The sequence below is a fragment of the Homo sapiens genome, chromosome 9 (assembly GCF_000001405.40).
Source record: "Homo sapiens chromosome 9, GRCh38.p14 Primary Assembly".
Classification (NCBI taxonomy): domain Eukaryota; kingdom Metazoa; phylum Chordata; class Mammalia; order Primates; family Hominidae; genus Homo; species Homo sapiens.
The window spans coordinates 113,934,344-113,949,261 of NC_000009.12; the positions used below are offsets into that span (position 1 = coordinate 113,934,344).

Here is a 14,918-nt window from a genome sequence, read left to right on the forward strand (position 1 = left end):
GCCCCAGGCCCAGCCTCAGGTCTGCCACCCACTGGTTGATCTTGGGCAGGTGACTCTTCCTCATCTGCAGAGTGTAGATGACAATTACACGAACCTCCTCTGTGGATTGTGAGGAGTAAATGGACAAAACACATGGAACGCGCTGAAGCCCGTGTTCGGTTTATGGAAAGCACCACAGACTGGTCGCTCTTTTCACCAAAGCACATCTGTCCTTACATGGGGAAGATTCATTTCTAGAGAGAGATTTGCAAATGTGTTCCCCAAAATGGGATTGTTGGAGTGAGAATATAGCCTCCCAAGGGCACTTTGAGAGAAATGTACCCGGTTGGTTATGAGCATTCTGGCCTGTTGGTTAAGCATTGGTCTTTAGGCACATCGTGAAGAAACAGCTAATGATACAAACTGGATTAAATTAATTCCGGAACTCTGTGTGACTCGAGGCAGACGTGTGGAGTCAGGGAAGGCCTTGGGCGTGAGGATGTGCCTGGCCGTGGCCCGAGCATGGAGAGGCTGGGGACCGCCAGAGTATCCTATTTGTACAGCCTTTATGCTTTCTAAGCTCATTTGCTACAGCAACTCCATGAAGGAGCCGTGCAGGATGAGGAGGGGCGTGGGGCTCAGCATGGTTAGGTCATGCCCAGGGTCCCTCACAAGCCTGGCTGTCCCCAGGTGCAAGCCCAAGGGGCATAAGACCCAGGGCCTGATTTAATGCAGGGCCACAAGGCTGGTCAGGGGTGAGAGGGACCTCAGTGGCCTGGCTGAAGCCCCTGGGCTGGCATGGGGCTGCCGACGAGGGTCCCCTAACCTGGCAGGAAGCTGCTTTATGGCCCAGGCCCTAGGAAGGAGAGGCTCACCATGCCATTTAGAGTGGCCCCCTCCTGATGACCTCTCTGGGTAGTGCCCCTGTGGGAGCAGATGGACATTGCCCCCCACTTTACATCATGGCCAGCTGCAGCGGGTTCACTAAGAGGAGCATCTCACCAAGGTGAAAAGTGTCATTGCAGGAGGTAAAGCCGCAGCTGCCAGCCCAGGGGCTGGTCCTAGAGAGGGCACAGCTGATGCCCTCTGAGCTTCCATAAAGGCACATTGGGATGAGAGCTATTTGCAGTGATGGAAGCACCACCTGCACCCCACCTGGCCCTGGAAACACCATGTGCTGTGCTCAGAGCGTGTCCTTGTTGCGGGTCGTGTCACTCCACAGAATGAGCACTGCCCAGGGCTGGAATTGGCAACTTTGAATTTGTTCCTCCTGCTGGCTGACCTCTGAATAAACAGTCCTCTTGGGGACTCTGTGAAGCCTCCTTACCTCTACTCTTCTCCTTCGAGCCCAATGAGTCTTAATTGGCTCCATCTTTAGGTGTGATGATGGATACTGTCTGGACTGCAAACTCTTTGAGGGTGGGTGAAGTCTCTCCCTGCACCCTGCCCTGTGCTGTGTACTCAGGACCTGCTCGGCGAAAGTTTTGAGTGGATCACATGCCTGCTTACTTGCTCCTAAGGCGGATTTGGGGCCTAGGGCAGGAGATCAGGCCCGTTCCTCCCAGCATCTTTAGTGTGATAATGCGCTTATCCCAGTGGGGAGCGTGGGTCATCTGAGATCACAGGCTGGGATTCTTTTTTTTCTCTATTGAGATAGGGTCTCACTCTGTCATCCAGGCTGGAGTGCAGTGGTGCAGTCGTAGCTCACTGCATCCTCGAAATCCTGGGCTCATGTGATCCTCCTGCTTCAGCCTCCCAAGTCACTGGGATTATAGGCTCGAGCCTCCATGTCCTGTGCCACAGGCTGGGATTCCTTGTCCTTCTCCAGGGGAAGCCAAAGGCAGTGCAGCTTGGTGGTCAGAGACCAGGCTCCAGAGGCAGACAGACCTGGGTCCAAAACCCAGTGCTGCCTGACCAGTTATGTTACCATGGGCCACTCACTCCCAGAATCTGAGCCTGTTACCTCAGTTCAAAACTAGGAACAAAAAAGCTACTCCCTGATGGTGGTATAAGGATTAAATAAAATAAGTAAAGTGCCCACTATCGTGCTAGTAAAAACAGGTAATTTATTTAGCGAGTAGTACATATTTGTTGAAAGAATGAATGGGAATCTTCTAGAATTTTCTAGAATATGTCTGCTCCCAGATTATTTGCTTCAGTTTGTTGTTCAGGAGTTGCACAGGAGTGGGGACCTTCTGCCATGAGCAGCATAGGCTGGGAATTGGTGCAGAATTTGGAGACTGGAAGGTGCCTTGGGCCTGTGACCAAAGGTCCCCTCTGAAGCTCGTCTGTGTACTACAGTAAGAATAGTACCATCACTGGGTTATAAGAATCAGCTGAGATAACATGTAAAGTGCTTGGAATAGAACCCGGCAATAATACCAGAACCTGGTATTATTTTCTTGGTCATTGTTTTACTTTCTGTTTTTTGAAGATGCTTTTAAATACCTCTTCATTCCAACATTATTTTTAAAAATGTGCTCTATTTATTATTTTTTTAGCATTTTTTCTTGTTTAGCTATTTAATCCATGTGGGATTTCTTTTTGTGTGTTTTTTCCAAGTGTCTCACTCTTATCTATTTGTTGATAAACTCTTTGTTTTTTTACTATATCTGATTTTCTTTATAAAACTTGATGGAGGGAGTTGAAACTTCCTTCCCCAACCTCATTCCCCTCGCTCACCAGAGGTAACAACAATCTAATCTAATTTGGTGTTTATAATTCTCAGATCTGTTTTATAATAATGCTATATATGGATGAAACCATAACTATCCCAAGAGATCTTAGAATTTACATTTTCCTTTTGAAAAACTTATTTCGACATAATTTCAGGAAGTTTTAAGAATAAGAATACCCACCTGCCCTTCACCCACATTCCTCAAATGTTAACTGTTCCCACACTTACTTTTTCGTGTCTTTCTCTCTCTCCTCCTCTTTCCCCCACCCCACTGTCTTTATAAAATTCTTTTTCTAAACCATTTGAGACAGAAGTGAAGGCATGATACTCCTTTACCCCTGAATACTTCAGAAATGTTTCCTACAAACAAGGACATTTACGTATATAACCACAATCTTTATCAGGAAATTAACACTGACAGAATACTCTTAGCAAATCTACAGACCTTACTCATATTTCACTGTATATTCCTATGTTTTTTATAGGAAAAGAAAACCCTGGATTCTGAGTGAAATTGTTTTCCTGTCTCTTTCGTCTCTTCCAATTTAGGAGAGCTCCTCGGTCTTTGTCTTTCCTGACCTTGACATTTCTTATGAGTACAGGCCAGTTATTTTGTACACTGTCCCTCAATTTGGGTCTCTCTGATGTTTCCTTACAATTATATTCAGGTTAAGCACTTTGTGCAGTAATGCCCAGAAGTGATGTGGCTTTCTCAGTGCATCATATGAGGAGACAGTATTACTTATTGAATAGTCTATTCCTTTTCCCACTGATTTGAAATGACACAATCACAGTTTTCTAAATTCTGATATATACATGGATCTGCCATTGGGCTTTTTAGTCTTTTAAATTGATCAGTTTTACCTAATTATGTGCCTTTTTTTTGTTGTTTTTATTACTTTGCCTTCCTAGTGTGATGGCATATGTTAGTCTTTTAAAAAGTGTTTCAGATTTGTACCAGGGGGCTCTAAAAATCTGTTCTTCTACATGAGCTTTATATCAACTCCACAAGGTCTCTCAGAAGTCCTATCGGGATTTTGACTGGAATCACATTGAATTTATAGATTAATTTTGAGAGAACTGACATATTTATGATATTATATCTTCCCATGCAGGAATGTGTCTCTTTAGGTCTTTGATGTTTTTAGGAAAGCTTCAGGCTCCTGTTTTTTTTTTTTTTTTTTTTTTGAGACAGGGTCTTGCTCTGTTGCCCAGGCTGGAGTGCAGTGCCATGATCATAGCTCACTGCAGCCTCAATCAAACTCCTGGTCTCCAGTGATTCTCCTGCCTCAGCCTCCCAAGTAGCTGGGGCTACAGGCACACATCACCACACCTGGCTAATTAAAAAAAAAAAAAAGTTTTGTAAGGACAGAGTCTTACTATGTTGCCTGGTTTTGTCTTGAACTCCTGGCTTCAAGTGATTCTCCCTTGTTGGCTGCCTCAAAGCATTGGGATTATAGGCGTGAGCCACCACACCCAACCCATGCATATTTCTTAATAGGTTTGCTTATTAGTGTTTTGTAGTGTTATTTGTAGGATGTGATTCCTCCTCCCATTATATTTTCTTTTTTTCTTTTTTTTTTTTTTGAGATGGAGTCTAGCTCTATCGTCCAGGCTAGGGTGCAGTGGCGCAGTCTTGGCTCACTGCAACCTCTGCCTTCTGGGTTCAAGCTATTCTTCTGCCTCAGCCTCCCAAGTAACTGGAATTACAGGCATGTACCACCATGCCCGGCTAATGTTTTGTATTTTTAGTAGAGACGGGGTTTCATCATGTTGGCCAGGCTGGTCTTGAACTCCTGACCTCAAGTGATTCAGCCACCTCAGCCTCCCGAAGTGCTGGGATTACAGGTGTGAGCCACCACATCCGTTCCGTCCCATTATATTTTCTGATTGATTATTGTTGATATGTAGGAAAGCTGTTGACTTGCGAATATTTATCCTGTATCTGGTTACTTTGCCAAATTCCCTTTTGTTTTAATAGTTTTCCAGTTGATTCTCTTGGATTTTTTTTTTCAGGCAATTGTATCTGCCATTAATGGCATGTTGGTTTGTTCCCTCCCAATATTTATGCTTCTTGTTTCTTGTCTTCAACTTGGGTAGCTAGCATCACCAGAATAAATTTAAATAATATGGTAGTGATATTGGGCATTCTTGGTTATTCCTGACTTCAATTAGAGTAGTTCTGGTATTATATTGTTAAATATTTGAGGGAGGTTTTTGAGAGATACCCCTTATGGAGATGTAAAGAAATTCCTAATTATATTGATCAGTGGTTTTTTTGTTTGTTGTTTGTTTGTTGTTGTTGTTGTTGTTTTTGCCTCATACTATCTCAGAAGACTTAGGATGATGTCTTTTGGAGTTGCATTACTTTTGTAATTTAGTGCCATATTTTATTTGCTAACATTTATATAGGAATTTTGGATCTATATTTATGTAAGATTTACCCATACTTTTCTCTTTTAAATTATCTTTCCCAGTTCTAATGTGAGAATTATGTTGGCTTTGTAACAAGAATTGGAATGGTCTCCTCCTCACACCTCACGATTTAGAAAACATAGATATAATTCGCTTATTGAAAATTTGACACAGTAAAATTATTTAAATATTCCCAGTATTTTAATAATTCAAATTTCTTCCTCTAATTATTGGCCTATTTGTTTTCTATTTCCTCTTGAGTCAATTTTGGGTAATTTTTATTATTTACAAAATGGTCTATTTCATGTATAATTGAAGATATATTAATATAAAGTCTTCCTTCCTTTCTTCTTCCCTCTTTCCCTCCTTCCCTCCCTCTGATTCCGTAGTCATAGCCACTTTTTCATTTTTTAATATTTCAAGTTTATTTTTTAGTTTCTTAGGCAGACACATGGTAGGAGGTGGGATTAGCCATTTTATCAGTAATTTCCAAGAACATGCTCTTATGTTTAATATCAAGTGTTTCGTTTTCTATTTCTTTAACTTCTGTTTATTTTTATTCATTTTCTGCTTTCTTTTGGCTTATTTTGATTTTATTCTTCTCAGTTCATTTCTTTTTTGAGTGACTGCTTTGGAAATATCCCATGGGTTTTGCTATATAGTGCTCTCATTGTTCATTTTTAAATAGTCTGCACTTTTTAATTTCTCAAAAAAAAAAATACTCCTCCAAATAACCTTTAGGTTACATTTCCAAGTGGTTAAACTTTTTGTGGCTTTTGTTTAGTTTTATTGCTTTGTGGTCAGGGAATATGGCCTGTATAATTTCTTATTTTAAAAAGGTTATTGAGGTTTTTTTTGTGGCCTGTCACATGATCAGTTTGTAATTGTTCCATGGATTTTTGAAAAGATGTGTATTGTTTTATAAGTACATATAAAAATACATCAAACTGGTTAATTGTGTTTTTCAAGTCCCTTATTACTGTGTGTTTTTTATCCTCATGTTCTGTCCATTTCTGGAAAGTATGCTTAAGTCTCCTATTGTAACTGATTTTTTTCTTCCTGTTTCTCCTTTTATTTTCAAGTTTTTGTTTTCTGTATTTTATGGGTACGTAAAAGTTCATGACTATATATCTTTTTGTTTAATTTTATGTCAGTTAAAATTTTGGGGGGGTGGTTCTTGATAATTATTTTGTTTGCCTTGGAGTTTTTTACCACGTCTGCTTTTTATTGACATATGCCTGGTGTAGTTTTGTCCATTATTTTTGTAAAAAAACTTTTTGTTTTAAAATAATGTAAGACTCACAAGTAGTTGCAAGTACAATGCAGAGAGTTCCCACCCTTCATCCAGCTTTCGTCATTGATAACATCTGGCATCTCTGTAATCCCCTTTATTTTAGCCTTTCTGACTCTTTTTGTTTTAGCTCCTGGCCTACCTGTGCCCCCCAATTTGTGATATTCTGCCTTTTAACAGGAGAATTTATATATCGTTCATATTTATTGTGATTTCTCGTTTAAGTGTCAGTTTCTTTCTGCCACGTAATTTTGGTTTTGGTTTTCCATGATTTTTTTTCCTAGCCTATCATTGAACTGCCAAAGTTTTCTTTATTCCCCTCTTTTCTTTCTTTATCTTCTTTTTCTTCCTCTCCTTTCTGCTTGTCCCTTCCCCAATTCCTTGCACTTATTGATTTGGAAGTCATAATTGTATTTCTCATTTCTGACATTTAAGTTTTTAACAAACTTATTTAAACTTGGGCAAGAATAAATCTCTAATTTTCCCCAAGGAATCCTCCCCCACCACAAATATTTGACCTCCAAGGGCATTTACATTTTCCTCATTCTCCTTCCATAGTTTGTTTTTAGTAAATATGACATGGAATTTTATTTCCAACTTAAAACTTCTTTTTCTGCATTGTTTTTGGGGGTTATGTAAGAGCTTCCTTGAGATTCACAGCTCTTATTTCCAGTTACTGTTTAGACTTAATCTGTTTTGTTGGGTTACTTTCTCTTTCTTTAAAAATTCTGTCTGATGTCTTCTTTCTTGGATTTATTTTCCTTAATGTTTTTCAGAAAATGTGCCCAGGTGACCTGAATGTCTCTGCATATCTGAAGAGGCCATTATTTTTTTCTCACATTTGAGTGATGAGTTGGTTTGCATTTGAATTCTAGATCCAGAGTCCCCTTTCTCAGGATCTTGTAGCTGCTGCAGTCTTGTCTTCTGCCTCTTGATCTTGCAGATGAGAAGTCTAATACTAGACTGAGTCTTACTTCTCTAGGGGATTTTTTTCGTCTATGAAAGCATTTAGGATTTCCTCTTTGTTTTTGGAGTTGGGAAACTTTTATCAGGATGTGTCTAGATGTCTTGTTTTATTCTTCTTTAGTACTTGCACCTTTTGTAATGAAAATTTCAGCCTTTTGTACTGTTCTTTTCTCTGCCATGCAGAGCTGAGTGAATATTGGGTCTTCAGGATAGAGAGACCATGAGACGCTGGCAGCCAGATTGCCTAGGATGCCAGGTGCAGCTGGACAGCTGGTCAACCCTCTCCAGACTCACTTTCCTCCTCTGGAAAAGGCAGGTGAACAGCTCCTACCACATAGTGCTGTTGGGAGACGAAATAGGACACAACGGACAAAACATTTAGGACAATGTCTGGTATGGAGGAAGTGGTCAATACGGGAACTGTTTTTTCTGTAATTCCTCGTGGGTATCAGAGACGGAGGAAGAAGTGGGCTTTTGAGCAGGACTTTGAAGGTGGACAAGGTAAGACCTTCTCTGAGCCTCAATCTCCCCACTGAAAATGATGGAGCTTGATAGGTTTTTAGGTAATAGTTCTCCTTTTTTTTTTTTTTAAATTTCACACAGAGGAGTGGCTTCATGGGATATAATTTCTCACTCCTGAATCTCAAGTCTTCCTTCCTCTTCCCTCTCTTCTTTTTTTCCATGGTGTTTGGTCTTTCTGGTGAGTGTGACTTTGTTGAAGGTAGGACGCAGGAGTTGAAAGAAGCTTTTACTTTGCCATAGAGAAAGAGCGGCCTACCTGAGTCTGTTTTGATATGGTAAATGAAAAGGTAGATGTCTTTGAGCTTGATCTATATCTGGCATGCCCTCCAGTCTTCTCTGTATCCATAGCCACTCTACTGGGCTGTAAGCTCACCTGTGTTTCCCCAGGCACTGCATGCAGTAGGTGCTCAAGAAGTGATTTTGGAGCAGACGATGAATCAGTGCTTCATTTTTCCTACATGGAGAAATGATTGTATCTCACTTCACTGGGCAGGTCTCCCTTGCATTTGCTGTTTTATAAAAGATTTTATTTGTGGTTGAATGACAGTCAGTTCTTTCAGGAAAATGAGAAAAACTGGTTTAGAACCATTGTGAAATTCCATTTTAATAGCAACAAGACCAGGCTCTGGCAAGTTCAAAAAGGGCAATCAAGAAATGCTTGTTTGCTCAACAGAAAGAGCTATTTAGGTGGTTACATGGTTCAGAGTCACCCCCAAACTCCATATAATTTTCAACTTCTAATGACTTTTTTAGCCTCTAAGGTAACTGGCGAAAGTGTAATTTATTTAGAGGAGTGTTTTGGGTTGGTTTCATCAAGTTGAGGATTGTCCCAGGTGCATCTGGAAACATCACCAGGAAGAGAAGAAACTCCACTGGGAAGGAGATAGGGTAGGGGTGTGATTTCCAACAACTCTTCACTCCTCCTGGCGTGGTTTACAGAGCAAATGTTTTTGAGCATCTTTTTTCTGTCTGGCACTGGTAAGACAAGCAGGATGCCATCCTTGCTCTCCAGTGGCTCAGAGCAGGCATGGGAATGGATCATTGTGATAGCCTGCGGTAAGTGCGAACTCTGCTCCTAGCTTAAGCAAGCCAGAGGGTCAGGAAAGCTTGCGGCTGGGAGAAGATTGTTGGGTGAGGAGAGGCTCAAGGGGGAGAGAGGGAAGAGAAGGGAGAGTGCTGGGCAGCAGTGACTGCGTGTACAGAAGCCTGGAGCCACGTGTGATGCACTTGGCAGCTCTATATCCTGAGCTCTGTTAGGGAGTGTCTGGGCAGGGTGCAGACCCACGTGCAGTGGGGCTGGGGAGCTCCTGTATCCCATCTCAGGAAAGCAGTTGCCACTCAGCTACAACCGATTGTTGCCATGGCAGAACACAGGCCCCAGTGTGGCCAGATCTTCTGATTTTTTTTTTTTTAAGAAAAGCTGTAAATCTGAAGTTTTATGTAAAACCTCCCAAAATTTCAAATCATGACCACTAATTGAAAAAAAAAGGTCTTATAAAACCCGAAAGTCCCACTCCGGGCCATTGGTTTATGAAACCTGTTTAGGGACTAGAGAGAAGCAGAGGGGATGAGGGGGACTGAGGTTCCCTGCCCTGGCCTCGGCTGTGCCCTGTGTAGCCTTCCCTGTGCCGGTGGTCAGGATAGTGGAGGGCTTGGACTTCAGTGTTGAAACAGAGTGCAGGTGACTTTGGAGAACTTTGCTCTTCCCCTAACCTTGCTTTGCTGTGATTCAGAGAGTAAGAGTCAAGTGAGGCTTAGGTTTTCAGGTTTCCTCGTTTTAATGCCTTTTCCTTCCTTACTAAATCTGGATGGGGAACGTGATGGGTGATAGTTGAGGCTGGATTGCCTCTTACAACTATTAGGCTCCCTTTGCCCCTGCTCACACCTCGCCCTGCACGGTTTGATCCAATGTGGAATTTCCCCTCTTTCTACCTTCTTTTTCTGCTTTATTGAAGATCGGGGAGAGGGCCAGATAAATACACTCTTGGGCCTAAACGAGCCCTTGATGTGGGCTTTTCTGCCACACTAGTCAATGAATGCTCGTCTTCCCCCTAGAGTAGATGAAAATAAATCTTTTGTTTAAAATTCTTTCTATTTTTTTTGAGACAGAGTCTTGCTCTGTTACCTGGGCTGGAGTGCAGTGGCATGGTCTTGGCTCACTGCAAACTCCGCCTCCCAGGTCAAGCGATTCTTGTGCCTCAGCCTCCCGAGTAGCTGGGATTACAGTTGTGTACCACCACACCCAGCTAAATTTTTTGTATTTTTCATTGAGACGGGATTTTGCCATGTTGGCCAGGCTGGTCTTGAACTCCTGGCCTCTAGTGATCTGCCCACCTTGTCTCTCAATGTGCTGGGATTACAGGCATGAGCCACTGTGCCTGGCCATACTTAAAATTCTTAAATACATAACACAGAGTTATCTAATAGAAATGTCATGCAAGCCGCATGTGTAACTTGAAATTTTCTGATATCCGTGTTAAAAAAGGAAAAAGACACAGGTGAAATTAATTTTCATAACATATTTTATTGAGCCCATTGTATCAAAAATGTTATCAATTCAACATGTAATTATAATAAAAATTCTTATTAAGGTATTACACATTTTTGATTTTTTACAAAGTCTTTGAAATCAGTGTGTGTTTTCCTCGTGACAGCCCATCTCAGTTTGGATTAGCCGCATTTCAAAAGCTCAGTAGCCACAGGGGGCTAGTGGCAACCATGTTGGACAGTGTGGCTGTAACAGATGCACATAAAAAAGTGACATTCCGCAGATATGAAGCAGTGTGCAGGCCACCTGTGAACCTGTTAATGAGAATGACTCATTTGATCGTGTCGTGATCAGCTCTCCATTCTCCTCAGGGTGAATCTACCAGCCCAGTTCCCTTTCCAGCCCCATCCCCTGTCTCCCTACCTCACTCTGTCCTGCCAGGCTGGCCTTCTGTTCCTTCCTCCCACGTGCCCAACACCTTCCAGCCTCTGAGCCCTCACACATGCTGTTCCCATTGTGTGGATTATGCCCCCTTCCCTCATCTCTCTTTGCTTGGTTTAAGCCAAACCATGTTTTCAGGTTAAATACCAGTTTTTCAGGAAGGCATTTCCTTATGTCCTTGCTTCCAACTCCAGACTAGATTGTTGCCCCGTGGGATGCTGTCATGGGGGAAAGAGAGGAGTGTGTTCCTTCTCCGCATGTACACAATGATAGTTATCTATTTATTGGTGAGATCTTGGCTTGACATTTCTCTACTGCATTAGGTGTTGCATGTCAAGAGTACAGGGGCCATGACTGCTTTGTTCACTCGTTTTGTCCATGGCAGCCTGTATAGTGGCTGCAGAAAATAGATGATCAGTAAGTATGGGATGAATGACACAGGGCTGAGATTCAGTCTTGTAGAGTAATCTGGGCCCATGGGACCTCCAGAGGATCCAGACCCCTAACAGTGGGGCTAGGGCGTCAGCCCCTGTGGCCAGTCCTGGGTCTCCTGCTTTGTCGTTGGCAGAGTCAGCCTCTCCCTGTCCCTGCCTTGACTGGCTTTTGGTTGCCTGTAAATTATATTTTTGGTGGCTGTTAATAAAAATATAGGGCTGGGGGGAGAAAAAAAGACTTTTCCTAATAGAATTTTATTAAATGGCACTAGTTTAAAAATGTCTCGTAAAAAGTTAATTAATTTGGGATTTGGGGATGAAAGGCGTGATATAAATGTCAGTTATTATTATTACAATTTCAGCCTCACGCTTATGCTCTTGATCCAGTCCCTGATCTGGAGTCTCTGCTACTCCCAGGGACTGGCGGCTTTGCTGAAATGCTGGAGGCAAATTTGAGCTTTGAGGCTCCATCGGGGACAAAGAGGACCTCGCCAAGTTAGGCTGTCCTGCCTTTTCTTCTAGAATAATGCAAGGCCTTGAGAGCCAGCACCACTGTCAGGGCCAAGAGCTGTTCAGAGCAGGATGGTCTTGGCGCTCTGCGGAGCCCCCTGGGCCAAAGCAGCCAGGAATATCAAGGCCACAGGCTTAGCCCCCTCACGGAAACCTGGGGTGTTAAAGCTTTCGGGGCTTCAAGAAATTACAGCCCCATTCTCATTTTATGGAGAGGGAAACTGAGTTTAAAGAGGGGCGGTGGCTTGCCTAGCCCAAGGTCACATAGCAAGTTAATTAAATTTATGGAGAAAAAGGCAGTGAATGCAATTAGTGAAGTGGGGGAAGTCTTCAAAAAAAAAAAAAAAAAAGATGCAGGCAATTTATTGGTGACAAGTCTAGAAACTATTTTCCAAGGAAATGGGGAGTCCTGGGACTTCTCTTGAGTTCACAGAGGCAGGCAGCCCTTCACTCCTTCAAGACATCCCACCTTTATGCCCCTGATGGCAGACACCGCACCTAGAGGAAGGGACTCGGCCCTGACCCAGCGTGTAATTACCAGTGCGAGGTAGGGGGCAAGCTGCGATGTTAATCAGCATCACCGCTGAAGAGTGAGTGTCTGTGTGCGTCTTTTGCCTCCTCTCTGAGAGGGGCTGTGAAAGTACCCCTCGCAGGATGTAGACGGGAGTGTGTGTGTTTATGTGCTGGAAATGGCAGCAGGCAAGTTGGGGATCTCATGTTCTTGGACTCATCTGTCCTTGCAGAGCTGCAAGGGAGCCTAGTGGCTGGTTATTCCCAGGACCCTTCCTGATGCCATCTCTGCTACAGAATTCCTGACAGGTGTTTGCTTGTTTCCAGTTGGGCTCACCCACATGTTCCCTGCAGCCCATTCCATTTGAGGTGGTTCTGGGAAAGCCTGCCTCCTCCTCACTGTCTTTGGTTCTTAAATCTGTGTTCTGTTTTGGGGACGACACAGACAGCATCTCCCCTGTCCCCTTCTGAGTGGAGGCCTGTTGTTATCCAGCACCACCATTGACAGAAGTCATGAGCTTGCGGAGCCTGCTGCAGAGGAGGGGCTCAGGGAAGGTTTGCAGAATGAAGCAATTTGGTGCTCTCGACAAAGAATCTGTCTTGGGGCTCTTTAGTGAATCCTTTCTACACTGGTTGGCTGGGATCGTCCAGGGGATTTTGGAATCAGAGCTGGATTTGAACCTGGGCTCCTTCACCTGAGCAAGATATTTAATCTCAGTAATTCTCAGTTTCCTCCTCTGGACAATTGAGATAAGAATACTTACTCCACAGCATTACCATGAAGAGGCATGCGTGTAGAGTGTTTAGTACACTGCTGAGCACATGTGATGGTGGGAATAATTATAATGTACTCATGACATATGACACCAGCCAGGTCCTCCTGCTAACATGTTCCTTGAGATGTCCATCTTATTACTGAAGTCCCCAAAGTCCTGCACAGGGCCTGACACACAGACCCCTACCGGAACCTTCCAGCTCCTACAGCCATGTGCCTCTGATTCTTAATGACTGTTGAACTGAACTGAGCTGAATTGAGAGTTCTGTCCTGCGTTTTACAAGCTCAGAGTCAGGCCTTCGGGAGACCCCTTGGGATGAGGCTGTCTGTATTTCCCCGAGGCCAGACCAGCCCTGGTGTGGAGGCTTCCGAGCTGGTTCGAGGTCTCCCCCAGCCTTTTAGAATGTGAAAGCAGCCAATAAGAGTCTCAACTAGAAAAACAAGTGCCGCAGCTCTATTGTTGTGTTTTATTGGAAATAAAATTTTTATTCTCTTTCTTCCCCTCTTCTCCGTGCAAGAAAACCACAGCTGCCTCAGACTTTGAAGTCCTTTTAAGTTGCAGGCCTAGAAGAATGGGAGGGAGAGGGGAGGTCCAGGCCATCCCTTTGGTCGCCATGTTGCCACTCTTGACAAAGAGCATCAGAATGGCAGCTTGTTTTTTCCTCAGTCAATGGCAGAGCTGGGTAGATTGCATGGAAGAGATGCTGTTGGCCTCTCTGGGAACAGAGCAGCCTCCCCCGCCCTCATCTTTATTGGATTTCAATGAGTCTTTCTGCTGTGGGTCATACATGCAGTGCGACCTCATAAATGGAGCGGTGGAATTTTCACTCCCTTTGTACTGAGGGCCTCAAGCATACTCCATCGCCATTGTCAACCCTGGATGGGTAAAACGCAGAAAACCAGGCAGAACTGATTCCTCCCAGGCAGCCCTGAGACCTGGAATATGACAGTTCTAAGTTTCTAGGCACTCGCTAGTCAGAAGGCGGAATAGGGCAGGAAAGCAGAGATGACATTTCCCACCTCGTGCCCCTGAGTCTTCTCTGGAAATCCAGATCCTCACACTTTTCTGTGGAATATATCAGGGCCTTCAAGAGAATGGGCAAGGCTTTGGGCCTCACAGCTTTGCAGTTGTTGCATCAGAGGAAGCCTGTAGCCATGGGAGTTAGAAGGCTCTAGAAAGATTCTGGAGGCCCTGTAAAGCTGAGATGTTTTTAATCAAAAGTTAGTGGATTAAAAGGCCATGTGTTATTTAACTGGATGTGCCTGGTAGCTGCCAGTTAAGTGCCTGTTTTGTGCCACTCGTCCATCCACATATTTTTGAGGGCCCAAAATGTGCCAGCCATTGTGCGAGGAGCCAGCCGTGTTGGGGAAGCAGTGGGAGTCCCTGATGTTGAAGCAGTGGGAGTCCCTGATGTTGTGGTGGTGGCTACAGAAGGCAGCGCTGGTAATAACAGGAAGAAAGCAGTGCCCCCCACCCCACAGATGAGATGTATACCCAGGGTCAGATCTGTTGATGGCATTATTTCTGCACTTACCAGCTTGGTGGGGAAGGTTCCTGCTTTGCTGCATTTTGAAACTGGGAGTTTGCTATGAGATCATCTGTTCTCCCGCTTCTTCCCAAAAGGGGGAACTCAAGGACGGTGGGCAGTTGATCTCTGCCTATTTACTCAGCCTGTAAGTTTCAGAGATGAAGCTTGAATGCATGTCTTCCCGGTCATCAGTCCAGATCTTGTAATTAGATGAAATGGGTGACGGAAGAGTGAGGCTGGTGCACCATGGGATGGCTGTAATTGCCCGTGACATCACCTTGCGTCTGACTTCTGCATTGGAGCTTCACATCTTCCACATGGAGGTGGCTGCTGGCTATTACAAATTGCTGCATGCATTTGAAAAGATATAATTAGAGAAGG

At 43.7% G+C, this 14,918-nt stretch overlaps 1 protein-coding gene across 50 annotated transcripts in view, besides 1 other annotated feature; it reads left to right on the forward strand.

The window, feature by feature from the left end:
* Nucleotides 1–14,918, forward strand: part of ZNF618 (zinc finger protein 618) — a 180,285-nt gene that overhangs the window by 58,035 nt on the left and 107,332 nt on the right. The window lies entirely within an intron of this gene.
* Nucleotides 798–1,298: an enhancer, noted in NCBI's record as "H3K4me1 hESC enhancer chr9:116697421-116697921 (GRCh37/hg19 assembly coordinates)". NCBI's record gives its function as "activates a minimal SCP1, AML or CMV promoter by ChIP-STARR-seq in naive H9 embryonic stem cells {active_cell/tissue: H9 hESC(naive)}" and the evidence as "EXISTENCE:reporter gene assay evidence [ECO:0000049][PMID:30033119]".